This window comes from Homo sapiens, chromosome 16, assembly GCF_000001405.40.
Source record: "Homo sapiens chromosome 16, GRCh38.p14 Primary Assembly".
Taxonomy (NCBI): Eukaryota; Metazoa; Chordata; class Mammalia; order Primates; family Hominidae; genus Homo; species Homo sapiens.
The window spans coordinates 85,899,031-85,923,301 of NC_000016.10; the positions used below are offsets into that span (position 1 = coordinate 85,899,031).

Sequence of the window (24,271 nt, forward strand, 5' to 3'; positions counted from 1 at the left end):
GAAAGCAGAGCACTTCGAAGAAGGCGGGCCGCGCGAGCCAAGCTGACGCTATTGGTCGGTGTGGCCGTCGCTCTGCGCACCGCCCGTCCCCCCCACGACCCTTTTTAAGGCCGCGCGACCGCTGGCGCATCGCCTGGAGCGCGGCAGCAAGCGTGGGAACGCGGGCGGCGAGACGGCGGCAGGACGGCGGCAGGTAGGCACAGTGGGCGGGTAGGGCGCCCGTGTCCCGCGCGGTCCGGTCCCGCGGGGTCCCCGACGCCAGGCGGGGCGTGGGGGTGGAACTACCTACCGTAATGTCCCCGGGCGCAGCTCAGTGGCCACCCGTGTCCCTCTCTGCTTTTTGCCTATTTTCCAGCCACCTAAGTCCAATCTGAATGCCCAAGTCGTTGATTGTCGTTTGCCTGTTTCCAAAGATTGGTAGATAGATGCCTTTTTAAAAATCTCATTTTTCTTTAAATCTGGTTTACATGGAAAACGTTAGGAGAGCTCATATAATGAACGGCAATAGCAACCCCCTATCTTGAAACGCGCTCTATCATCCCACTGAAATTCTACCACGTGGAATAATGCTTGGAGGGTCAGAGTTGTGGAACTGCCCAATAACCAGTCGTTACTGAGGGTTAGTTTGTGAAGGAGGGGACAGACTGCTTCTAAAATTCTGTTTAATGACAGTCAATTAAGATTTCTGAGTCTGGCTTGAGGGCCTTTGCTTCCATCACAGCCCAGTCGTCCTTGGCAAGAGAGTCTGTATATGGGCCACAGCTCACAAAAGCATTGTTTGAAAAAATTTATTGAAAGAACATTGTTTGTAAAATGAGTCCCAATACATAGGACAGACTTTCCTAAGGTGAGATGTGTTACTTACCCAGAGCTGTGAAAGGCTTTACGGATGGAAACTAGAGACTGAATTTTCCAGAATTTTAAGAAGTCTCCCCAACCAATGGCCCCCCACTTTCTTTTTTTAAACCAAAGGTAAGAACTGGTAGTTAAAATGACAGTTCAAAGCTTGTCCTTTTGGGTTACGGCAGCTTCCTCTATGAAAAGATTTGGGAGTGATTCAGTCACTTGAGGAAGGTTGGTGCCAGAGAGAGAAATGGCTTTGGTGCTTTCTGGTCTAGTGATGCGGGTATGCTAGGCCAGAGCGAGTGCCCTGGGCCCTCCGAGGCGGGGGAGAGGGTGGGGTCTGCTGCTGCCAGCTCAGGTGTGACCTGTAATCTGGATTAGGTGGGCCCAGGGCAACCTCTTATCACGTCCCTCCTGGAAAGCCTGACTGCTGTATACATTTCTAGGGCTGCAGATAGGGCTTGGCCAATAGATTACCTCAAAATCAAGAAGAGGAAGTTATAAACATGTGATTAGACTTATTAATTTTTCCTGGCTGGGCATTTGGTGGAATTCGTTTGTTAATGTTTAATAAATCATTATGGATCATAACTGTAGTAGAATCTCAGGCTTTTGATGTTACTTAGAATCTTGGAGGAGACCACGAAGGACACACAGACGTGGCTGCACATGTGCAGAGATCTTGTAACGTAACTATGGCTTTTCTCTGCACCATGTGTGAAATAAGCTGCCGCTGGCGTTGGGGCGCCGGCCTGGGTTCCAACACAGTCCGCTGGCTGCCTCGGTATTTGCCGTGCCTCTCTGGGCCTCAGTTTTTCCTCTCTTAAATAAAGAGGGGACTGGATTAGATGATTTCTAAAGTATTTTCCAGCTTTCAGATGCTATGACTTACTCTTCTCTTTTTCCTTTTAAAATTTCTTTTTCCTGTAAATCACCAAGATAGTTGTCCTGAACAGTTTAGATGTTATGAATCCATTAGGAATCCTGATAAGAAAGTGTTGACCCTCTTTCTAGAAAAATGCGTGTACTAACAAAATTTTGCTTTTGGTTGCAGGAGGCTCAGGAACTGTGGATTCTAGTTTAAGAAACTTGTAGCAAGGAAATCAGGGGAGTTGAAAGTCTCAGAAGCCAACCCCTATGTTGTGTTCTGGCCACCTCTGTGCAGCTCATTCCTCAATCTAGGAGAAATTTTTCTACCTTGCCCCAGGAAAGAGCTGCTAACTTGTTTTCGGGGAGTGTGGGGGGGTCTTTGGTATTGGTGTTCCATTTCTCTTCTCAGGTACCCTCTCCCAAGTCTGTCCCTTCTTTATGATAAACACAGTGGCCTGCTTTAGAATTCTGGGTCTCTTGAGATACAGCCTCTCAACTTACAGGTGAGGAAGCCTCAGGGAGAGGTTCAAGTGACGTCACAAGGTCTGGTTAGAGAAAAGCCTTTGCCAGAGTTCAGAGTTTTCAAACCAAGGTCTAATTTGGGTGGGCGCAGTGGCTCACACCTGTAATCACAGCACTTTAGGAGGCTGATGTGGGAGGATCACTTGAGGCCGAGAGTTCAAGACCAGACTGGGCAACATAGCGAGATCCTGTCTCTAAAATGTATATCTGGGTGTGGTGGCATATGTCTGTAGTTCCAGGTACTCAAGGGGCTGAGGCAGGAAGATCGCTTAAGCCCAGGAGTTCCAGGCTGCCGCGAGCTATGATGGCACCACTGCACTCCTGCCTGGGTGACAGAGCAAGACCCTGTCTCTAAAGAAAAAAAAATTGAACTCATCCCCTTTTAAATCCATAAACGCACAACTGAGGTTGTTGGATGGGGAATTTAAGAAATCCCACCTCCTCCTCCCTGGGACCTGGCCCTGTTTCCCGTCTCATGGCCACCTGCAGGGTGGCTGAAGTTTCCAGAATGCGTACTTCTTGTGAAGGTTCTGATTGATATTTTGCTTTCTGGACCAGTGTGGCTCTACCATATTTTGGGATGTTATGTCTTGTTACTGCTGATTGTTTCAAACTCGTTTGCCCAAAGAGGTCACATTTTAATCAGAAGAACAAAAATGCTATTTTTTTTTTTTTTTGGGTGGGCGTCTATCCAGCTGTCTTGGGGATTTCCAGCACTGTTCTTGGAAATGTTGGCTCTAAGTCGATAGGTCATGCTAGTTCTCTCTCTCTTTCTCTGTGCTGTTGGGGAAGCTGTCTGCTTGGGTGAGAGTGTTCTTCCAAAGGATGTCTTTGGGTGCCCTGGGATGGTTAGGTCCCTAGAGTGGGACATGTTCTGGAAGAGGAGCCCAGTGAACTTTGCCCTGTTCGGTAGCTGCAGTTTATTTCCTCACTCTTGTCCCTATCTTTCAGTTGGTCGTAGGAGTTGCCCAGGAAGGAAGTTTGGATAATAATAATGACATCTGGCATGTAAGGTCCAGGCCCTGTCTCAGTTGCTTTCCGTGTAGCATCTGAATTCTCTTACAACCAGTACAGGTAGTGTTTTGTTAGCTGCATCTGGGACTGGGTAGCTGATGCCCTGAGTTTAAATGCTGATCCAGCGTCTCCCAGCTGAGCGGTGGCGGGACTTGAATGAGATCGCGGTTCTGTCTCATTCTCAAACTGCTGCTCTTATCACTGTGAAGGAACAGCTATTTAGATGGGCTGGCCTGAGGGCCTCCTCTTTCCCAGACGGCACGGACGCAGTATTCTATCAGGGAATGTGGGGCCAGCTGGGCATCTGGTAGCCCAGTTGGTTCTTCGGATAATGGGCTGCTCAGTGAAGGAACCTGGTGCTGTAAAAGTGATTCCCCCTCTCCTTCCAGTCTTGGGCTAAAACTGGAGCTGTTCACTGTGGTTGTATCTGCCTGAAAGGAAAGGGCAGATGAAAGCTGGAAGGAGCACAGCCAGCACAGTGGGAGGGGCCTGCAGGGGGCTGCTGGTGGCTGCAGGTTTCCCACGGAGCTTTCAGTTTGCACTCAGGGCTGTGAGGTCATGGAGGCCAGCATTGCCTTCTCATGGCAGGTGTCCCGGAGTCCCTGAATCTGTGGGTTTCCCCCAAGCCAGCACCTTTGCTGCAAACCTCTGAGTTTCCTGTTAGCAGTTTTTGGGTTGCTGTGATGAATGAGACAATATCCGTAATATCACAGCGTGTATTTCTGTCTTTCCAAGGATGTGTGACCGGAATGGTGGTCGGCGGCTTCGACAGTGGCTGATCGAGCAGATTGACAGTAGCATGTATCCAGGACTGATTTGGGAGAATGAGGAGAAGAGCATGTTCCGGATCCCTTGGAAACACGCTGGCAAGCAAGATTATAATCAGGAAGTGGATGCCTCCATTTTTAAGGTAAAGAGCCCAGCTCCCTTCCCCACTGTGGGCACAGTGTCTCCTTTCCCTCATGGACTAGTGGAGATGTTGAGTGACATCTTTCTCATTTACTTAAAAATTAATCCAGTTTTTTAAAAGCAAACATTGGTTCAGGAGTGCTGAATGTGTCTCAGACATGTACATGAGCTGATTTCACATCTTTTGAATTACGGAGTCACTTTTGTGGTCGCTTGTATTCTGATGAGGAGATCGAAGGCTCTTTTCTTCTCTTTTCTGCTGCTTCCTTTTCCTGATGAGCCAAGTGGGAGAAAATACTTCGAGACCTTCACGCTAAGACCTTTCCCCACGGGCTTCCATTAGAGGCGATGCATATACCAGGGAAGGTTTCAGTCCTTGTTCTTTCAAAGCTGATACTTCTGCCTGGCATTGTAGGGCCAGCTCAGGAGGGTGAGATGCCATCTGTCATTCCTTTGGGGGCTGGGCCGTGTGGGGGGTTGTGAACCTGCAGCAGATGTCTAAAAATAGTCTCACCTCCCTTGAGAGTAATCGGTTCCCCATGCGTGGAGAGACGTGATGGAGGGTTTGTTCTGTGCCAGGCCTGGCCCACGGCTTGTTTTCTGCTCACATGATCCTGTGTGGTAGATGCTGTTCCCACCCTCATTCTATAGAGGCACTGAGAGGAGAAGTGACTTGTTGAGGTCTCACAGCTCTTGTATGACGGAGCCAGCATTCAGATGCAAGATGGCCCAACTGTGAACCCTTGGTCCTAACTCCAGAATAGCTGATCAACAGAGATTTCTTGCCATTACACCTAGATTCAGACAGAGGAACCAGGAATTAGGGCAGCCCAGCTCTGCAGACCAGCTGGGCTATCGAATCCCTTGTGGGTCATCAGAGTCCTGTGTGGGCATCTCTAAGGCTCCAGATGTCCAGGTTTCACCTCTGGGAGATTCGGAGCCCAAGGTCAAGGTCAAGCTAGACTTCCACGTTTGCCAGTGTGGACACTACACGTAGTCTGAGTCCTAGCCCAGGTTATAAGCCATTGCCATGTGTGCTTATTCTCTTGCATTTGGGGGCCAGAGATGGGGAGGGGAGAGTGAGTGTGGGAGAGGGGTGAAAGGGGCTGAGTTGTTGGGGGCCAGAATCAGACCTGAGACCACAAACAAGGTGTGGAGGGGGTCAAGGCTGTAGGAGCCCATGACAGTGCTGGACTCCCAGCCACAGATGACTGTCCCCTGACACCAGAGAACAAAAATGACAAAAGATCACACCTTAACCCCAGAGTGGACCATAAATAGGTCAAAGGTAGCTTAAGATGCATTTTGGTCCTGCACGTCTCTGCCTGACCGATGTTTGCAGTGGGGCTGTGCGTTTCAGTAATTCTGTTAAATCTGCAATTTGAGGTTGCTGATCTTCTTGAGAATCTGATGCCCATTACTGACCACGCCAAGGAATATGGGGACAAGGGAACGCTTTGCACTCACTTTCGAGGGGTCCCTTGGTGCCCCCACACGTTCCAGATTCTTTCTGATCAAGGACCCCAGGTCAGGGAGCCTCAGCACCAAGAAGTTTTGTGATGCCACTGCCTGCCTCCTCACCCTTAGTGCCATTGTGGATTTCTCTCTTGTTTGATTGCAGATCTTTTTTTTTTTTTTTTTTTTGCCTTTGGCATCATGGTGAACTTCTCTTGGGAAGGACTGCAAATGTAAACAGTGCCAGAGTCCCATTCAGTCGGTTGGGAACTCTGCATTATAGATAACCCCAAAAGCCGGAATTTCTCTGCCTCGCCACTGTTGATGTCTGGGTCTGGGCAATTCTTTGTTGTAAGGGTTCCCTATGCCTTGTGGGATGTTTAGTGGCATCTCTGACCTCTACCCACCAGATGCCAGTAGCATCCCCTCCCCTACTGTCACAATCAAAAATGTCTTGGACATTGCCAAATATCTCCTGGTGGGGCAGAGTCTTCCCCTCCCCATTAAGAACCCTGATAAGAGCTGGCCACTGCCAGGATCAACAGACTTAACCAGAGGTGTTGGGTGCTGAAGGCACAGTTGCAGGTTGGACATCAGTAAAACATCTTTAAGACATGGCAGAGGGTGCTGGACTAGGCTGTGTAGCCCTGACATGTGGCATGCTGACGGAGACGAAGCTTCTCCCTTCACCCCATTCCCTACTTCAACTTGTGCTCGGGGGGTAATGAAATAAAGCCCCAGATTTATACATCTTATGCAATGTTCTTCATGGCCGTTTCAACAGTGTTGAGAAAAATGTGCAAGATTCCCAATGTTTCCGTTGGTTACGCAGTCGCCTGATGTGGCAATCTGAAATGAGTCTACCATCTCAGCAGGAATGGGGCCAGGAGGGAGACGCGGGTGCCCACTGGAGCAGGGAGGCCATCGGGAGGGCCACCAGTGCCGGTGGAGACATGGCGCCAGCAAGAGCCCATCATGTGCTTCCCTGAGCTATGCTTCTTCCCATCCATCCTCTGAGAGGCCTGTCTCTGTGACGTTGGCCGGATAGATCTTTGGCTGTTGGATGAAGTCAACCTCGGTCAGGTAGAGCCATCTTAGGGATTTTCCGGTTATGTAGACACTTGTTTCTTTCAACTGTTCAAAGAAAACCTTTCAACAATTTAGGAGTTAAGAAAGAAATTTATGAGTTTGGTTTCTTCCGTAATAAGTGGATGGTAAAAGGGGCCACTTATACCAGAAAATCCCTCATTGTCTGCAGGCATCATCCTGAGGCCGGCCTCATGGTATAGATCACAGAAGAGAAATTGAAAAAACATTGAGCTCATTTTGTACCGACCCTGAGTACACTGATGAGGCCCTGATAGCAACTCATTTAATTTTTAAAAAGTACTTTACCTTCTTGACATGACGACAAGGGGGGAAAATCTAGTTAAGTGAGGATTATGATTCATGGTTATTCCAGGCATCGTAACAGTCCTGAATGAGTTAAAGCTCACTTAGTAGCACAGATATTTCTCATTCAGCAGGCCTTGAAGGGAAAAATAGCATTTAATTAAAAAAATGCAACATGAAACAATCATATTAAATTAGGAAGACCTCCTGGTCTTAGTTCAGTGCTGTCAGCCTGAGTTGTGCGTCAACAGGAGAAATAAGTTATGGTGGAGGCTGAATGAGCCATAGTGACTGTTGCTGGCGGCAGGGGTGGGGGGGCCCTGAAATCACTCTCATGTCTAGTTTTTGCTCTAGCTCAAGAAGGATCTCGAGAGATCATCAAGCTAAGTTGACCTTTTAATGCTGGCCAGAGAGGCTGGGAGAGGGCCAGGTGCCTGCTGTGTCACAGAGTTCAGGGCAGGCGGCAAGCCAGGTACCCGATGGTGGCCCTGGATGCTTCCTGGCCGTGGGCCCTGCTGTGATGGATGATGTGGCCTGGACTTGCTCGTGGGGTGAGTGTGAGCTTGGCGTGAACGAGTGAGTATGGCAGTGCCTTGCAGGCACCGCGGTTGCGTATGTGTACCAGCGGATCACAACGTTGCCATGAAATCTGTGCATTTCAAGGCCCGTTTGGGATGTGGGTTAACTCAGTGGTTCTCAGGTGGGGGAGGTATCATGATTTACCCTCCAGGGAATACTTGGCCATGTTTGGAGACCTTTTTTGGTTGTCACAGCTAGGGGAGGGGTGCTATTGGCATCTGGTGGGTCAAGGCTAGGGATGCCGCTGAATATTCTACAATCCACAGGACCACCCCGCCACAAAGAAGGGTCCCAGCTGATATGTCAGGCTTGCCACGGTGGGGAAACCCTGATTTAAAGTAATAAAAATTTGAAACTACAGTTGATTTAGTACATGGTTTGCTGGTTTATTTCTTTAAAAATAAACAACAGCAACAAAACCCAAATTAATGCCCGGTCAGTGATGCAGTCAATGAAGAGAGCATTAAAGACCGTGTGCTTTAAGAAATAGTTTTAGAGGGGAGTTTTACATCAATGTCACATGAGGAAACTACCACTTATGCTCACTAATGGGAATGTTCTTCCAGTCTCTTTACCCCAGGTAGAGGTGCAACATTTTGCATCAACAAAGTAGGCAGCATTGGCCTTGAACAGTAAGCATTCTTGTCTTTTTTGAGAGGAAAAACAGTCTGGGCTATTTTAAAGGAGCTGTGACTCATGGGGGCATGATGGAGTTTCTGGAAGTGTGGTCTCCTGGGTAGCTAAATCCAAATCCCTGGAATACTGGCTAAAGACAGCTACCTGGGCCGGGCGCGGTGGCTCACGCCTGTAAGCCCAGCACTTTGGGAGGCCGAGGCAGGCGGATCACGAGGTCAAGAGATCAAGACCATCCTGGCCAACATGGTGAAACCTCGTCTGTACTAAAAATACAAAAATTAGCTGGGTATGGTGGTGCACACCTGTAGTCCCAGCTACTTGGGAGGCTGAGGTAGGAGGATTCGCTTGAACCTGGTAGGTGGAGGTTGCAGTGAGCCAGATTGCGCCACTGCATTCCAGACTGGTGACAGAGTGAGACTCCGTCTCAAAAAAATAAAAAAACTAAAATAAATAAAAATAAAAAATAAAAAAAGACAGCTACCGAGACCCAACCTCCCTTCCCCAGTGAGAATCTTGAGGGGCAAGGCCCAGGAATCTGCATTTTCACAAGCTTCCCAGGGGCAGGGGGTTGGTATATGCATTAAGCCTGAGAACACTTGCTGTGGTGGGGAAACTGTTGGGTTGGAAGTGGGTACAGCTGGCATTTAATCCCAGACTGGGTGGCCTTGGGAAAGTTACTTACCTCTTGGAATTGCATTTTCCTGAAGTGGGTACAGCTGGCATTTAATCCCAGACTGGGTGGCCTTGGGAAAGTTACTTACCTCTTGGAATTGCATTTTCCTGAAGTGGGTACAGCTGGCATTTAATCCCAGACTGGGTGACCTTGCGAAAGTTACTTACCTCTTGGAATTGCATTTTCCTGAATGGGATCGGGATGTCCCTACAGATCTCCTATCATTTTAGGCTGGAGGACACTGCCTGATTTTTCCTGAAACCGAAGATAATTCTCATCTGACTGTGGTTACCTCCTAGTTGGTGTGTCTGTATTCCAATTTTGCAAGCTTAAAATCTGTCCATTCACCTGTCTTATTTTTTTAAAATCTGTACTGCCCCATTCTACATTATGACTTTAAGATTTCAGCTTTGAATTTCTGGTCCTAGTTCAGATCCTAAGGTTTGGAAAAGTCAGAAAACAGATCTATTAAAAAAAACACACACACATTAAAGGGAAAGTACTTCATTACATTTTAAACAGCACCTGGGGGGAAAAGTCTAGAATAAATGCAAAAATGCAAAACAAAATTTCTATTAAAAGTAACAGGGCGATGGATGACCATTTTGACTTTTTGCAAATGTTCCCTTTTCATGCTAAATTTTAGGGGTTGATCTGAAAAAGCAACAACTTGTTCTTTGTTTTGAACGCTCTGGTGAAACCATATGCAACTTCCTCTTTGTGCTGTGTAAACCTCAGGTGTCTCCAGCTCTTCAGCCAGGCAAGGGCTTGGCTAAAAGGTGCACTCCAGGGTTGGAGGAGCCTTCAGCCTGGGTTCGACTTCTGACTCAGCTGTATGAACCTGGGGGACCCCCTCCCTGGCTTGGGTCTTTCCACATCTGGTCCCCAGATGTGAAAAGACTCAAGACATCTGATTGGAGTCTCTTTGGGTCCTGAAATTGAATGAGAGTTGATGGCCAACAAAGATTCATGGGAAGGGAAGGATGTGTGGGGTCCTGGTCATGGTGACGGATATTTGTGATTGGAGTCGGCCATGAATTTAATGTGCTTCTGTTTCTTTCTTCAGGCCTGGGCAGTTTTTAAAGGGAAGTTTAAAGAAGGGGACAAAGCTGAACCAGCCACTTGGAAGACGAGGTTACGCTGTGCTTTGAATAAGAGCCCAGATTTTGAGGAAGTGACGGACCGGTCCCAACTGGACATTTCCGAGCCATACAAAGTTTACCGAATTGTTCCTGAGGAAGAGCAAAAATGTAACTATCCTTTATGGGCATGAAACCTTCCAGAAGCTGCCCTGGCCTGTAGCCTTCACCACAGAACTTGGGTCTGGGGTAGACACAGGGTCTGGGGCACATAGTTTCAGTTAAACAAAGCAGTTCTCTCCTTCGTGTAAGCAGAAATTGAGATCTCTTTCCAGTGACCTCAGAGGGAAGGGCGGAGGAGATTGGGTGCTGCCCAACCTGTGCCCCACTTGCTGCCTGACCACAGACATTTGTAGGGCCTCCCTGGACAGGAACAAGCATCCTCCAGCAGTTTCTGATGAGGAATCCTTTCATTTTCCAGCAGCTTGCAGAGGAGGCCAGGGGAAAATATGGTGACCACAGAAGGCCTGGATCATGAGGGTTGGGAGTAAAGCTCTCAGATGAAGTTGTCAAAGATGGCACCATGGCCTTCGTTGTTGGAGATGGGATATGCCTCAGTGTGTTACTAGATCCTGATTGTTATTTGGGAACTCCGGGATGTGATCATTCCTGAGGTTTCTTCCAGCTCTCAAATCCCAAGAAAGCATTTGTGACAGATTAAAGCAGGACAGCAAAAACATGCCGCACCCTGGTCCTACATCACTAAAATAAATCCCAAAGTACTGAGCTGGGATCTGGCCTCAGAAGGCTTCTCAAAGCCCTGTGCTGTGCCGCTGCCATGAATTGTAGCTGATTTATGAGATAAAACCTAATTACCAGCGCTGGTTTAGAACATGCTTTTAACACATTGATTTTCTTAGCCACTTGATGAGGCTTTTAGAATAACCCACTCTGGCTTTCTCCTTCTAAGCTTCTGAGTAGTCCACGAATGCCTGTAAGAAACAGAAACCCCCAAAACTTCTTGGGGCTGTGCAGAAGTTTGAAGTTTGCACTCTTCCCGCTGTGGGGGTGTTGACTTAGAATTTTTTAAGAAGTTAAAATGGTGATTCAAACAAATCTATAGTGAATCTGTGTCAGAGAGTTGTGTAATCGTCATGAAGGAGGCAGCATGATGGTAAAGATGGTGGACAGAGAATCCGAGGTGCTGGTGAATGTGGCCCATGAACGAGAAAGCTGAGCCAAAGCCGATGCCCGACCCGGACAGTACAATTGCGGTTTGGGGCGTTTGTAGCCTAATCGTCTGCAATTAGCACCTAACTCTACTGAGCGTGAACCCTAGTCAATACTAAATAGTAAGGCCAACAAACTGACCTTCCCTTGGAGAATCGGGTGCCCTTTAGGAGGAAACCTCTATATAATAGTCTGGGGTGACCCTGAAAGGCTAAGCAGTCATCTTTTTGCCTCATTTCCCAGTTTTGGACAATTTTTTTTATCACCAAAAAGTAAAGTGTGATTTGAAGGAATAGAGAAGTTTCTTTTGGCCCCTACTGCCACCCCCAAGATCAGTCAGGCTTGAACCGGCAGGTGACCCCAACTTGTTTATAGCATGGGGTGCAGCCAGCATCACCTGCTAGTGATGTTAAAGAAGCAGCAGGAGGTTCTCAGGGGTGAAGCAATGTAGCATTTGCATAATTGCCTACAGGGGCCCACTCGCCTCTAACCTCAGTGGTTTGCAGGCTCCATGGTGGGCGCCCCACCTGCTCCCTACTTCCCCATCAGTAGCTTCTCAGTGAATTCTTTAATCTATCGAAATGGAATCAAAATTCAGCCAGGAGGAAACAGTGGGTAAATTCTGTAGGTCACTGGGAATAATGAATTTTTGTAAGTGTTGGTTGTGATACGTCTCACACTGATAAACTTCATAAGGTAAGTTGTCGACTGAGGAAGCGGCATGAGAAGGGAAAGAGCAGAGGCTGGCCCAGCGTGCCCCTGTGGACACTGTGCACCTTTAGGCGGTTTGTGATTACGGCTGGTGCCCACTGGGCATCAGTGAGGGTGCTGCGGTGTGTGTGTGTGCATGGCTGTGTGCACTGATGCACATGTGTATATTTGGAAAGGCCAAAAAGAGATTTCCTGCCAACTGGCAATACAAAAAAGACCCCAACCTGCCAACACGTTTTGCCAGGAAATCGGTGAGTGTTTTCAAATGCCCTGTCTTATAAATGTAACCTTCTTAAGTTAGCAAATGCTTGCTGTAAAGTATATCTGATACAGACTCATTTTGGATCTCAGAAAATAGAAGAAAGAGACCAAAGTGCTGTCTTTATCCTTTAAAAGTGTTAGCAGAAACAACCACCACCACCACCACCACCAACTTCTCTCTTTTGACTTTGCTGATCAGATGACTGAAGCATGGGAAAAAAATTCTGTGCCTTTCCCAAACCAATGAAGACACTCACTAACTTAATGTTTCCTTAAACTCAGCATTTACAGAGTAGATTATGGCTTCAGCAAAGGCTGTGATGCCTCCGTGCCATGTGTCATGGTGTTTGTCTGGTTTTCTGTAGGCAAACTAGGCGTGGCAACTGCTGGCTGCGTGAATGAAGTTACAGAGATGGAGTGCGGTCGCTCTGAAATCGACGAGCTGATCAAGGAGGTAAGCAGAGGCAGCATTTCAGGGGTCTGGCCCTGCCAGGAGGAGTCTCATGTCTTCTGGCAGGGAGGGGCACCGTTCTTGCTGTATGAAGGCAGCCAGACCCTCGGGCTCGCTGAGGAAGTGGCATCTCCACCTGTACAGATCTGGAACGGAAGGACTGGCTGGGCGCCCCCTCCCCAGGCCAGCTTCTGCCGACAGGTCAACCCCTCACGCCAGATCCCTCCTTCATCCCTAGGGCTGGGCCTGAGCTGCCGGTTATGTGTCAGTGAAGTTCCTTCCAGCTCCAAACTGTTCGAACACTTTGGACAGCAGTCTTTTAAATGGCATCGTGAATTCCCTTGCCTTCCTAGCAGGCTACAGAGAACAAAATGTAAACTTTCCTTGCTGCCTGCGCTTGTCATGATGGCGGGTGTTGTTGTACCAGCTCTCATGGCTATTTGATTGCTTCCTTTTTAATGTGCAGTTTTTATTCCTTAACGGATTGGAAAGCTGGATAACCAAGCATGTTCACATTGCACATAAATTCCTAACAGGCTACAAGGGAGAGCATAATCGGGGCCTCCTTAGGCAAGAATACATGGCTTTTGTATACCCATTTCAGCTATTGGGATGCCCTTTTCTTCTGTCTTTGGCCTCTTAACTATGCTTTTCATGGGTATTACAAGGTGGACATTTGCATGACTAAACCTCGTGCAGCCTTTGCAAAAGGTTGTGTGTGAGTACTGCATAAATTCTTCTTCTTAATAACATAGCAATAATGGAATCCTTAAGAGTAGCTTGGCTGTCAGAGAATGAAGATAACAGAATGTAACCTACCCGAACGGCCTTGCTCTTCTGCACAGGCAGCTGCCAAGTGTCTGGGTGGTCTTTGGCAGCCGACTGAGTGAATTCTTGGCTTCGTGGCCCTCCACCAATGTCCTGTTTTCTGTAGAAGGCTTTTCTGCTGACTCAGCTGAGAGAGTGAGATAATCGGATTGCCACACCGGGGTCACAAGAAAAGCAATTTCAAAACATTTCATAATTGGATTTATCAGCCTCCTTTAAGGAATGGGCCAGAGATTGAACATCTGCATGTGGCTCGTTGAGCGAGATTCTTGAAAGCATGGCAGCCTTTGGCCAGCATCACTGTTCACTGGTGTCTCAGAGCTTGTCTGCGTGTCCAGGGCGTTGAGGGCAATTGGATAATCTGGAACACTGGGTCTGCAACAGGCAGGTCGTGGAAAGGGCCAAGAAACTTATTAGTGGCCCCCAAAGAGCCTAGTAATTTGGCCACATGGTTTGAATGCTAAGCCTGGTAGATTTAAGGCCTAGGGCCTTTCAGGTTGCAAAGTGAAACTTGACTTTTGTCTCCTGAGATAAAGGTGACAATATGGTTTTACTTACACATGAACTGTTCATTTTTACAAACACTGGAGCCCCAGGTGGGAGATCAGTGACTGAGCTGCCCTCCTCTCCCTCCCCTGACTGTGCAGCCTTCTGTGGACGATTACATGGGGATGATCAAAAGGAGCCCTTCCCCGCCGGAGGCCTGTCGGAGTCAGCTCCTTCCAGACTGGTGGGCGCAGCAGCCCAGCACAGGTGAGGGTGGGTGGCCTAGAATTGTCACCAGGCATGGCCTGAAGGGTTTACGGCATTCCACCAGCCAGGGACGGAGTGGGGGTGGTTGTTGCTATCATGATCCATGTCTCATTAAAGGTAGCTCAGCCCTGAGAGGTGAAGAACGATGGCCCTGGTTTCCCAACATGAGGGCAGAGCCCAGCTGTGCCTTTGGCCCTGCTCTCCGCTGCTTCTCAGGAGGGCACAAGCTGCTTGTTCCCTAGGTGATGTCCATGCCAGCTCTCCCCACGCTCCTGGGAAAGTCCAGGGAAGAGGGTCTAGTGAACTTGTGTAAGGCCAGAGGGAAGATGCAGCTCTTGGCCACGCTGGCGCCCCCTCCCTGGGTACTCCCTTAGGTCGGCCAGTCTGTTACGACATTAAGGACCCCCTCAGAACCAAAGAGAGCCCAGGGCATTTGGAGGAGAGGAGAACTCAGACCAGGAACAGGAAGTTTGTTCAGAGCCCTAGATTTGAATCCCACGCTGGGAAGTTACAGATCTTGAGCCTCAGTTTATTCATCCGTAAAACAGAGAAACCAGGACTTGCGCCATGGGGTCACGAGGGTTAAGTGAGGCATTCATCCTTTGATTCTCTTTTGATGAGCCACTCAGAACCCCCAGCTGCTTGAAATGCCCCCGCCCCCGCCAGGCCCAGGCTTCTGCAGCCGGTGAATGTGTTTGCTTCCTCCCTCGGCGTCTTCCCCCTAGCCCTACATCCCCTGTGGGAGTCTGGGAGGTGGCAGCTGGCCCCGGAGGCCTTGAAGGTTGCCAGGCCTTGGGTGTCGAGTAAGAGGTCCCTGGAAAGGCACCTCTGTCTGTGCTGCAGGAACACCATCCGGAAAGCTAGCTTGCACCCCCAGGCTCTCCCCCAGAGATAAGCCCTGGGTGGTGGGTATGCAGTCCAGTGGTATTCTGGGGGTAAGTGCTTGAGGTGGGAAGGAAATGTGGCCCCACAGTGTCACATTGACACATGGTCAGAAATCCCACAGCATAGAGGAAGTCCCCCCGACTTGCCACTCTGGTTTTCTGCATTTGTGAAACAATGGCTCTCTGCTCTGGTGGGGAAAAGCACTGAATTCAGCGGAAGCCTGTGCTCCCTGGAGCCTCTGGCACGCCATGTGCAGCCTTTTAAGGGACTTTTGGAGAAGGAGCGATTGGGGTTACTCCCTGTACACCACACCTGGGTGGCTCTGAGCTTGCTTTTCTGTTTCTCCTGCAGGCGTGCCGCTGGTGACGGGGTACACCACCTACGACGCGCACCATTCAGGTACGGGGTGGTCCGGGCTGAGAGGGGCGTGGGCACTGTTTGAAGACAAAGCCCAGATAACCCAAGCAGGGTTGCGGGGTTTCGAGGATGAGCAGGACCTGGTGTGGAAGTCTAGGCCTGGTTCCAAGGATGAGCAGGACCTGGTGTGGAAGTCTAGGCTCCGTTCCGAGGATGAGCAGGACCTGGTGTGGAAGTCTAGGCCTGGTTCTGAGGATGAGCAGGACCTGGTGTGGAAGTCGAGGCTCCGTTCCGAGGATGAGCAGGACCTCGTGTGGAAGTCTAGGCCCGGTTCTGAGGATGAGCAGGACCTGGTGTGGAAGTCGAGGCCCCAATTTCTCCTCCTCACCATTTGGTCAGGAGCTGGCGAGTGGCCTCTTTTGAGGCCACTTTTCTTGGACTGGACCAGCAAGTAGACAGAGTACTCTTTGAGGCTGTAACTGTGCAGGAGAGACAGTGAGGGACAGGCCAGCGTCTGTCCCAGCGCTGCCTCTCTTTTGGGGCTGCAGGTGGAGTGGTGGAGCCTCTCAGAGCCTCATCTCAGGCTCCCCTGCCCACCACCTCTAGGTGGATGCAGCTGTTCCCATTTCGCGGGCTCAGGTAGCTTGTGTGCTCCAGACTGGGGGCCTCCCCGCGGTGGGCAGAGGTGGCCTTTGTGTGTAGTCTCAGCGGCTAAGGACCCTGGCTGCACTTCTGCCAGCTGCCCCTGGAAGTGACGCTCAGGCGTGGTGACGGCATCTTCTGAACAAGGAAGCTGGGGCATCTTCCAGCATTGGCTGGTTCTGTGGGAGGCGAGCAGCTGGTCTCATCAGATGGGCCACAGAACGTTAGGGCTGGGCCTCTGGGCAGGGGAGGAAATGGGGCAGGGATAGAAGCGTGCTGGCTGAGGACTGCATGGGACAGTTTTGTGGGTAGCAGAGGTCGGTGCTCACCCAGGCAGGAAAACTGTCGAGATGGCAATGCCCTGTCCATGAAGCTCTTGTCTATTTCCTGGCAGCCCTTTGAGCTGGGGGGTTGTTTTCACTCCGGCTTCACAGATGAGGAGACTGAGGCTGGGAGGTTCAGGATCTCATCCAGGTCGCGCAGGCCTCTGGCTGGAGCCTGTTCTTGAGGCCTCCTTGTGCCCGGCAGCCGCCATGCTCACAGGGTCTCAGTTCTGGGAGGCCTGGGTCATGAGGCTAAGCCTCCGGGCTCGCCAGCCACTGGGCTATGGCCTGGGAGTCTGCTGACCAGTGCTTTCCGGGGGCTGTGGAGTAGCCAGGCACAGAACTGAGCCATCTCGGTGAGATGCAGAGGCACAATTTGGGGAGAGCATGTCCTTGAATTAGTCCAGCAGGGTCATAGCCACTGCCTCATGCACAGAACATCCTTCTAGAAGCTGTGAGCTTTGGTACCTCTGTCCAGCCCCGCCCCCACCTCTATGTAAATCCATGCTTCAGTTTCCTTACCTGGAAAATGGGTATAATAATAATCTACCTTACAGGGTTAAATGTGCTGGTAGGTCCCAAGCCCTGGGCACAGCACCTGATATGAGCTGTGTAGACCATAGTCTGTGGTTTATAACTTCAGGAGTCTTGTCTGTGTAGATAAGCATTTGTCCTGTTACCCAGTTTCTTTAACTGGTGCTTACCTGTGCCGAGCACAAATACAAGCTCCGATAATCCTCACAGCAGCCCAGTGAGGTGGATGCTGTTTTTATCTCTACTTTGCTGATGAAAAGCTGAGGCACAGAGTGGGGAAGCGGCTTGCCCCAGGTCATCCAGCTGGGCAGCAGCTGGGCTGGGACCGCACGTCAGGCAGGTGGGCTGCAGGGTCTGTGCTGCGGGTGTCTTTGTTGCTGCCTCTGTGGTCAGGCCGTTCCCCAGCAAGGCTGTTCTTGTGGGTGAGTGGCTCTATAAGGGCAGGGCTGGGTCGCAGCAGGCCCTTACTGTTGCAGAAGGCTCACCTGCCTCACCTTGGCAGCCCTTGGTGAGCTGCTTCTCACCTGTCAGGTACAAGCCTGACAGCTGGAACCTTCTCTTAGCATAAGACGTTCTGGGGTGTGTGGTCACTAAGACACTCCTGCTTAGGCGTCTCTGAAGCACTTAGCTGTTCCGGGTGAAGCTGCCAGTTCACATGACTGAGAGGTGCTGGTACCAAGATAAGGCCCCGGAAATGACAGGGCAAAGGGCCAAAGGGGTGACGGAGTTGCCTGAAGCGTTTCATTCATTTGGAACAAAGTTCGAAAGTTGCTTCAGGGTAAAGGGAGGGGAGTGTGTGGAGTCCGCAGGCAGTGCAGAAGTTGCAGACTTGGCGTGGGGGGAAGATGATGAGTGAGGAAGAGCGAGACCAGCGGGGAAGATGGTGAGCAGGGAAGAGCGAGACCAGTGCTGCCATTTCCTTCTGGGTGACCCTATCTAGGATTCAGTTTCCTGAAGTGTCAAATCAATGAGGTGGACCAGAGCTTCTGCAGCTCTAGCTTCCTACCCTGCATGATTCTAGAACCTGCGTAACTCCAGCATGGCTGGAAATGGAGCCCGTGAATGGTGGGTTGTCAAATAATAAGGCAGGGAGCAGAGCCCAATGGGAGGGTCCAAGGAGTTCTGAGTGCCCAGCAGTGTCAGCAGGGAATGCAGATGGACTCAGGGCCTCCCCAGATGTGGTCAGCCTTGCACAACTCTAGGGGGCGCCGTGGAGTTAGGCACCTCACAACTTGTGTGGCTCCACAAGGCAGCCTCGAACCGGTCTGGGGTACTTAGAAGGAGCTGCAAACTCACTAAGCTCATTGCTAGCGTATGTAATTCTTTTGGTTTAAGGCAATTAAAATGCAGATACCTCCCTGCATTTACATGTTATCTGCATTCCTACCTTAGATTAGTGTTTTCCAAACTTTGGTCACTTGAGGTCCAGTGTCACAATTGGTTTTCACAGCCTGGACTGTTACTAACATCATGTTTTTCCTCAAATCTTAATCTTAAAATAAAACTTAAGTTTATTTTAAATGAGAACCCACTATCATTGGCTGTAAAGGAAGACCTGTGGCACCTGGTATAAGTAGGTAATACTGTCTGGCTAGAATTGATTAAGATTGTATTTGTCTTTCATTGAATTTGTCTTGACCTCTGACAATGCCCTGAATTTGGAGCCCTAAGTTCAGTGCCATTATTCAAAAGGGAGGTTGACAGGTGTTAGGTGTTAGAGAGCTATCAGCACCAAACTGAGGCTTGCTTTTTGAGGTAATCAGAGGTTGGAAGAATATTGAAGATGGAATAATCTTGTGATTACATGTATCACCCCTCCCCCATTATTCTGTGTGTGCCACTTTTGGGGAACCCCTGCTTTAGTTTGAGTGTTTTTCAGACTCTTTCCTGAGAACAGATTTGGATGAAGGGTTTTGCAGAGATTCTTAATCTGAAATCCAGGAAATACCAAGGGCGCTGTGAATTTGTTGAGAAAAAGATTATGTCTTTATTTTCTTTAACTTCAGGTTTAAATTGAGCATTTCCTTTTGTTATGAATGTAGGCAGCAGACCGCAGTGCCCTTGGCAGTGCCTATGAGACGGAGTATTGTCATAAGAAATGAGTTGTCGAAACATCGTTTGCCCTCAGCTTGACGTGTAAATTACAACAGTTACCAGACCTTCTCTAGACCTTGTATTTAAAGAGTCAGTGAAGAAGTACAGAGAACACTGTTGTAGTTAATATGTTCAGTCATTGGTTTCCTTAGTCATTCTGTGTATTTATTCATGCATATAAAAACATTACTTCTACAAGCAGTACATGGATTTCCCCAGAATATCAAAGTGGTTCAAGACACACAAAGAGTTACCCGTGTAGGTGTGAGACAGACTGTGCACTTGGGCAGGAGGGACCCTGTATGTCTCCCCGCAGCACCGTCATCGTGTCCCTCTTGTCCACAGCATTCTCCCAGATGGTGATCAGCTTCTACTATGGGGGCAAGCTGGTGGGCCAGGCCACCACCACCTGCCCCGAGGGCTGCCGCCTGTCCCTGAGCCAGCCTGGGCTGCCCGGCACCAAGCTGTATGGGCCCGAGGGCCTGGAGCTGGTGCGCTTCCCGCCGGCCGACGCCATCCCCAGCGAGCGACAGAGGCAGGTGACGCGGAAGCTGTTCGGGCACCTGGAGCGCGGGGTGCTGCTGCACAGCAGCCGGCAGGGCGTGTTCGTCAAGCGGCTGTGCCAGGGCCGCGTGTTCTGCAGCGGCAACGCCGTGGTGTGCAAAGGCAGGCCCAACAAGCTGGAGCGTGATGAGGTGGTCCAGGTCTTCGACACCAGCCAGTTCTTCCGAGGTCTGTACCGTCGTCACCTTGCTGCCCCCACATCTTAGAGATCACGCCTCCTATCTGTGTGCCATTTGCAGCTCAGGGTGGCCCTGTGGTCTCATGGAGGGATGTGGAGGAGGAGTGAGGGGCATGGTGTGGCAAGGAGGTGCTCCTTTGAATGGCACTCTGCCCTCTCCACTGAGCGATCCTGGGGTGCTTCTCTGTGCCTCAACTTCCCCATGTGTACAGTGGGGGTGCAGAATCAGTACCCTCATCAGGTGATTGTCGGGAGGGTAAAGGAACTTAACCTCATGTACCTTGGAGTATGTTCCAAGGATGGTCCCTGAGCGCTGGCTAGAGACACAGAGTCTGAGGCCCTGCTCCAGCCACAAGATCCGAACCTGCATCTTAGCAAGGTCCCTGGGGATCTGTGTACAGGTTTTGAGACACGCTGACTTTCCGCACACTAAGTGCTCAGGATGGCAGCTGCACACACTAAGTGCTGCCTGTTAGCTTTCGTTACGCTGTAGGGAGGATGTGTAGGATACCAGCCTGGGTGTCTCCTGGAGGGTTAGGATGGCGTCTCCCTTCTCCACGTCCCCATGCTCTCTGCTCCTCTCCCTGTAGCAGCACAGCCCGAGATAGTGTCAGGTCTCAGCTGCCACTGGCCTGAGAACTGCCAGAGGAGGGGCCTGGAAGGGCGGGTGCAGGGGTATGTGTGAGCTCAGGGGCATAAGCCCTGAGGAATCCCCCTAGTGAGGAGGTGTGAGGCCGCGGTTATCACCCCTGAGCAGGCAGAGCGGCACAGAAGTGCGTCCTGCAATGTACATTCCCGGGCCTACCTCACATCCTCTGATTCCATGGGTCTGAGGCGGGGCCCAAGATTCTACATTTCTAATGAGCTCCCAGGGAAGGCGACTGCTGCCGGTCCACCGGCCCACTTTGAGACCCTTTCAGTTGGCTGTCAGAGATTCGGGTGAGGGCTGCAGCCCTCCCTGGGTGTCCTCAGGTCGGGGTTGCCAACTCAGTTGCCTCCAAGGGCCAGGCAGGTAAGAGCAATGCACGAATTGAGAGATAAGAGAGAGCACTGGGCAGCTGTGCCCATGGAGAGGCGTTCAAACGAGGCATTAAAATCCCGGCAACAACCTGGAATGGCCAAACGAACAGCTCCTTGCTTGGAATTTGGCCCAAGGGCCACCAGTTTGAGATCCCATGGTGCCCTGGCCTAAATGCTACAAGCCCTGGGCCTCCTGATCCCCCAGCCCTGCTGCTGCGGGAGTTGGAGGTCATCTCGGCCTTGCTTGCAAACACCCTCTGCCTGTGTCATTCCAGAGCTGCAGCAGTTCTATAACAGCCAGGGCCGGCTTCCTGACGGCAGGGTGGTGCTGTGCTTTGGGGAAGAGTTTCCGGATATGGCCCCCTTGCGCTCCAAACTCATTCTCGTGCAGGTAAGTATGGGCAGCTTTTTTTTTTTTTTTTTTTTTTTTTGAGATGGAGTCTTGCTCTGTTGCCCAGGCTGGTGTGCAATGGCGTGACCTTGGCTCACTGCAACCTCCGCCTCCCGGGTTCAAGTGATTCTCCTGCCTCAGCCTCCCGAGTTGCTGGGACTACAGGCCCGTGCCACCACGCTCAGCTAATTTTTTGTATTTTTAGTAGAGATGGGGTTTCACCATGTTGGCCAGGATGGTCTTGATCTTGTGATCCTCCCAGCTTGGCCTCCCAAAGTACTGGGATTACAGGCGTGAGCCACCTCGCCCGGCAGTCTGGGCAGCTTTGAGCCCTGCATCCAGGTCTCCTGGCCCTGTCATGTAAGGATCAAGTTTTGGGCTGGAGAAGAGGACACAAGGACAAGTTTCCACCTGTGTAGGAGGCAGGCCTGGGCAAGACCTTCAATATGCGGGAAGCGGATTCTTGCCATCTCCGAGCCATCTTCTGGTGTCTGGGACGCGCACAGTCTGTGTGTGTGTGTTTTCTTTTTTCTTTTTTGGTTTTTAAATCTAAGCCTCTTCTCCAGAAAGATTCTACCTGTTCAGTTGCCCGAAGGTCTAAGTGACAGATTAGGGCATTGCCAGCCCTTATTTCATGTAGTCAAGGGAATGAATCTCTAATGGTGGGATCCTGGGTGCTGGCTGTCCCAGCTGGGACAGTACTGGGGAGTATGGAACAGTTTTGGCAGGAGTACTGCTTGCCCTTCCTTGGCATTCTGGCTCATTCACTTGGGACTCACGTGGCACTGGGGTCATCAGAGGACCTGGCTAGGGTCAAAGACAGTGCCCACCCCCTTTGGAGCCTCCGCCTCTGCCTCTGACTTTCTGCACCTCCCATCTAGATTGAGCAGCTGTATGTCCGGCAACTGGCAGAAGAGGCTGGGAAGAGCTGTGGAGCCGGCTCTGTGATGCAGGCCCCCGAGGAGCCGCCGCCAGACCAGGTCTTCCGGATGTTTCCAGATATTTGTGCCTCACACCAGAGATCATTTTTCAGAGAAAACCAACAGATCACCGTCTAAGTGCGTCGCTTGGGCGCCCCACCCCGTCTGCGTCCTGCATCCATCTCCCTGTTACAGTGGCCCGCATCATGATTAAAGAATGTGGATCCCTCTGTCTGGGGTGGGATGCCTTACTTTGCACTTAATTTAATAAGGGCATTCTCGGAGGAGTAGACGTTTAATACGAAGTGGCGGCATAGCCCTGCCGAGATGTCGGTGATGGCCTGGATGCTGTAACCACAACCTGTGGCTAAAAATTTTATTTTCTATCCTTTACCCGTCATTATCATTAGTTGCTATGATTCTTTCTGCATTTTCGGTTAACTATCATTTCCAAAGACTTGTCATTCAGTAATATTAGCAGATAGCTGCTTCGATAAAGGAATTTGGAGTTTAAAAATCAACTTGTGAAAACAAGGTTGTTTTTGTCTTTATCGTTTGTTAGAGTTATAGATTTATGATTTCATAGGCTTGATTCTATGTGAAATATCTTTTTACTTTTATGCATTTTAATAAGATTTAAAAATATTTAGATTAAAGCCCCCTTTAATGAGTACAAGAAAAACTCTTGGCTTGTTAGAAGAAAGTATATTCTTTCTAGAATTTGGTGCAGGAATATGTGTTCATATCCAGGCAAACGGGTGTGTTTTTATCTTCAGACAATGAAACCTTCTCCTCTGGGGCTTTGTTGCCAGGAAGATTAGAACTAAATTTATTTTTTTCATTTCTGTCATGAAATCATTCCAGATACCTCTTTTCTTCTTTCCAAATGGTTTTCACATGTGTTTGAAATATTTGTACTTCGAATTGTCGGATTTTCCATGTCCTCCTTTCTCCTTTGTGCCCAGCCTGAGTCAGCACCAATCCCGCATTCAGAACCTCCCAGTGAAAGGGCAGCCTTCATTTTGAGAAGGTGGAAGGTGTTAGGGTTTGGGAGACAGCTCATCCAATCTCCCAAGTCTCATGGTGGATTTGTGACTGTGAGAGTTTCCGGTTTAAAATCTGAAAAGCCAGATATGCCTGTTTCCTTTTCCCAGCACCATGCCTGTGGAGGGGACAGTCAGACCCAGAGGTCCTTTACGTGTGGATGGAGTTCACAGGCGAATAGAGGAGAGGACCAGGGGACGTGGCTTGTCCCTTTTGTCCAACAAAGCATTATATTTTTAAGAATGGCAGACCTGTTTGCTGAAGTGTTCATAAGATAACAATAGGCTTGAATCTCCAATTCAAATGAATGTCAAAGCACATATCTTTAATATGCTGAATGAATATTTATTTTTGTATCCATTAAAACAGTATATTGATCTCTTTTATTCTTTATTAAAATAAAATGCTCTTTTTTAAAGCTGCTGTGTACTGTATTTTTTTAGTCACTGTCAAATATGATGTAATTCTCACCAGATTCTAGGTTCTGTAAAGGGGGAGTTACTGCTGCAATGTGCAGTGTTAATTCAGTGCACTGGACTGAAACAATATCGCACTGGGATTTTAAGGATTTTTTTTTTTTTTTGAGACAAAGTCTTGCTCTGTCACCCAGGCTGAAGGGCAGTAGTACGATCTCGGCTCCCTGCAACTTCCACCTCCCAGGTTCAAGCGATTCTCGTGCTTCAGCCTCCCAAGTAGCTGGGATTACAGGCATACGCTACCACATCTGCCTAATTTTTTTTTTAAAATTAGAGTTGTGATTTCACCATGTTGCCCAGGCTGGTATCGAACTTTTGGCCTCATGTGCTCTGCCCCAACCTCTCCCCCAGCCTCCCAAAGTGCTGGGTTTACAGGTGTGAGCCACCTCACCCAACTCCTGTTTTAAGGATTTTTCTTTTTCAACCTATCCCTTAAACAACAGCAAAAAGATACGGAGACTTAGACTGATCCTATGGAATGAAAACATTGGAGAATGTTTTTATTCCGAATGGGGGGCTGTTTGGGTTTCTGTGAGCTGACAGATGAGTGTGCGGAAGGGTGTGGAGGAAGTGGGGTCTTGTGCTGATTTCATCCTCCTGGATGCAGCTGGGGTGATTTGTACGAGGCGTCCCTGGT

General features: G+C 49.7%; 1 protein-coding gene and 1 non-coding gene across 5 annotated transcripts, besides 10 other annotated features; both read left to right on the top strand.

The window, feature by feature from the left end:
- Window positions 1–300: a silencer, noted in NCBI's record as "silent region_7827". NCBI's record gives its function as "represses an Ori minimal core promoter by ATAC-STARR-seq in GM12878 lymphoblastoid cells {active_cell/tissue: GM12878}" and the evidence as "EXISTENCE:reporter gene assay evidence [ECO:0000049][PMID:35858748]".
- IRF8 (interferon regulatory factor 8) lies at window positions 132–23,579 on the top strand. Of its 4 annotated transcripts, XM_047434052.1 has the most exons (10): window positions 132–2,216; window positions 3,187–3,859; window positions 3,985–4,159; window positions 9,960–10,143; window positions 12,540–12,628; window positions 14,101–14,206; window positions 15,443–15,490; window positions 19,387–19,773; window positions 21,079–21,194; window positions 22,076–23,579. In XM_047434052.1, exons 2-10 carry the CDS (start codon window positions 3,831–3,833, stop codon window positions 22,250–22,252), a joined length of 1,311 nt encoding a protein of 436 aa, XP_047290008.1. In that variant the 5' UTR covers window positions 132–2,216; window positions 3,187–3,830; the 3' UTR covers window positions 22,253–23,579. The 4 variants fall into 4 exon arrangements, with proteins under 4 accessions (XP_047290008.1, NP_002154.1, NP_001350836.1 ...); NM_002163.4 differs by lacking the exon at window positions 3,187–3,859 and having other exon boundaries at window positions 132–193; window positions 22,076–23,576; NM_001363907.1 differs by lacking the exon at window positions 132–2,216 and having other exon boundaries at window positions 3,800–3,859.
- Window positions 1,418–1,477: an enhancer, noted in NCBI's record as "active region_11292". NCBI's record gives its function as "activates an Ori minimal core promoter by ATAC-STARR-seq in GM12878 lymphoblastoid cells {active_cell/tissue: GM12878}" and the evidence as "EXISTENCE:reporter gene assay evidence [ECO:0000049][PMID:35858748]".
- Window positions 3,846–3,905: an enhancer, noted in NCBI's record as "active region_11293". NCBI's record gives its function as "activates an Ori minimal core promoter by ATAC-STARR-seq in GM12878 lymphoblastoid cells {active_cell/tissue: GM12878}" and the evidence as "EXISTENCE:reporter gene assay evidence [ECO:0000049][PMID:35858748]".
- Window positions 9,880–9,959: an enhancer, noted in NCBI's record as "active region_11294". NCBI's record gives its function as "activates an Ori minimal core promoter by ATAC-STARR-seq in GM12878 lymphoblastoid cells {active_cell/tissue: GM12878}" and the evidence as "EXISTENCE:reporter gene assay evidence [ECO:0000049][PMID:35858748]".
- Window positions 10,080–10,289: an enhancer, noted in NCBI's record as "active region_11295". NCBI's record gives its function as "activates an Ori minimal core promoter by ATAC-STARR-seq in GM12878 lymphoblastoid cells {active_cell/tissue: GM12878}" and the evidence as "EXISTENCE:reporter gene assay evidence [ECO:0000049][PMID:35858748]".
- Window positions 11,125–11,204: an enhancer, noted in NCBI's record as "active region_11296". NCBI's record gives its function as "activates an Ori minimal core promoter by ATAC-STARR-seq in GM12878 lymphoblastoid cells {active_cell/tissue: GM12878}" and the evidence as "EXISTENCE:reporter gene assay evidence [ECO:0000049][PMID:35858748]".
- Window positions 11,295–11,344: an enhancer, noted in NCBI's record as "active region_11297". NCBI's record gives its function as "activates an Ori minimal core promoter by ATAC-STARR-seq in GM12878 lymphoblastoid cells {active_cell/tissue: GM12878}" and the evidence as "EXISTENCE:reporter gene assay evidence [ECO:0000049][PMID:35858748]".
- Window positions 11,475–11,544: a silencer, noted in NCBI's record as "silent region_7828". NCBI's record gives its function as "represses an Ori minimal core promoter by ATAC-STARR-seq in GM12878 lymphoblastoid cells {active_cell/tissue: GM12878}" and the evidence as "EXISTENCE:reporter gene assay evidence [ECO:0000049][PMID:35858748]".
- Window positions 14,741–14,790: an enhancer, noted in NCBI's record as "active region_11298". NCBI's record gives its function as "activates an Ori minimal core promoter by ATAC-STARR-seq in GM12878 lymphoblastoid cells {active_cell/tissue: GM12878}" and the evidence as "EXISTENCE:reporter gene assay evidence [ECO:0000049][PMID:35858748]".
- Window positions 15,843–16,508: an enhancer, noted in NCBI's record as "H3K4me1 hESC enhancer chr16:85948479-85949144 (GRCh37/hg19 assembly coordinates)". NCBI's record gives its function as "activates a minimal SCP1, AML or CMV promoter by ChIP-STARR-seq in primed H9 embryonic stem cells {active_cell/tissue: H9 hESC(primed)}" and the evidence as "EXISTENCE:reporter gene assay evidence [ECO:0000049][PMID:30033119]".
- Window positions 19,317–19,386, top strand: MIR6774 (microRNA 6774). The gene has a single exon (NR_106832.1). It is a non-coding gene; the product is annotated as a microRNA 6774 (primary transcript).

Excerpts from the sequence above, each read along its gene's own strand:
- IRF8 (XM_047434052.1), top strand. The coding sequence starts at position 3,831 with ATGGCAGGTGTCCCGGAGTCCCTGAATCT. Across the intron at positions 3,860-3,984 it reads GTCCCGGAGTCCCTGAATCT|GATGTGTGACCGGAATGGTG; the intron begins GTGGGTTTCCCC and ends TGTCTTTCCAAG. Across the intron at positions 15,491-19,386 it reads CTACGACGCGCACCATTCAG|CATTCTCCCAGATGGTGATC; the intron begins GTACGGGGTGGT and ends TCTTGTCCACAG.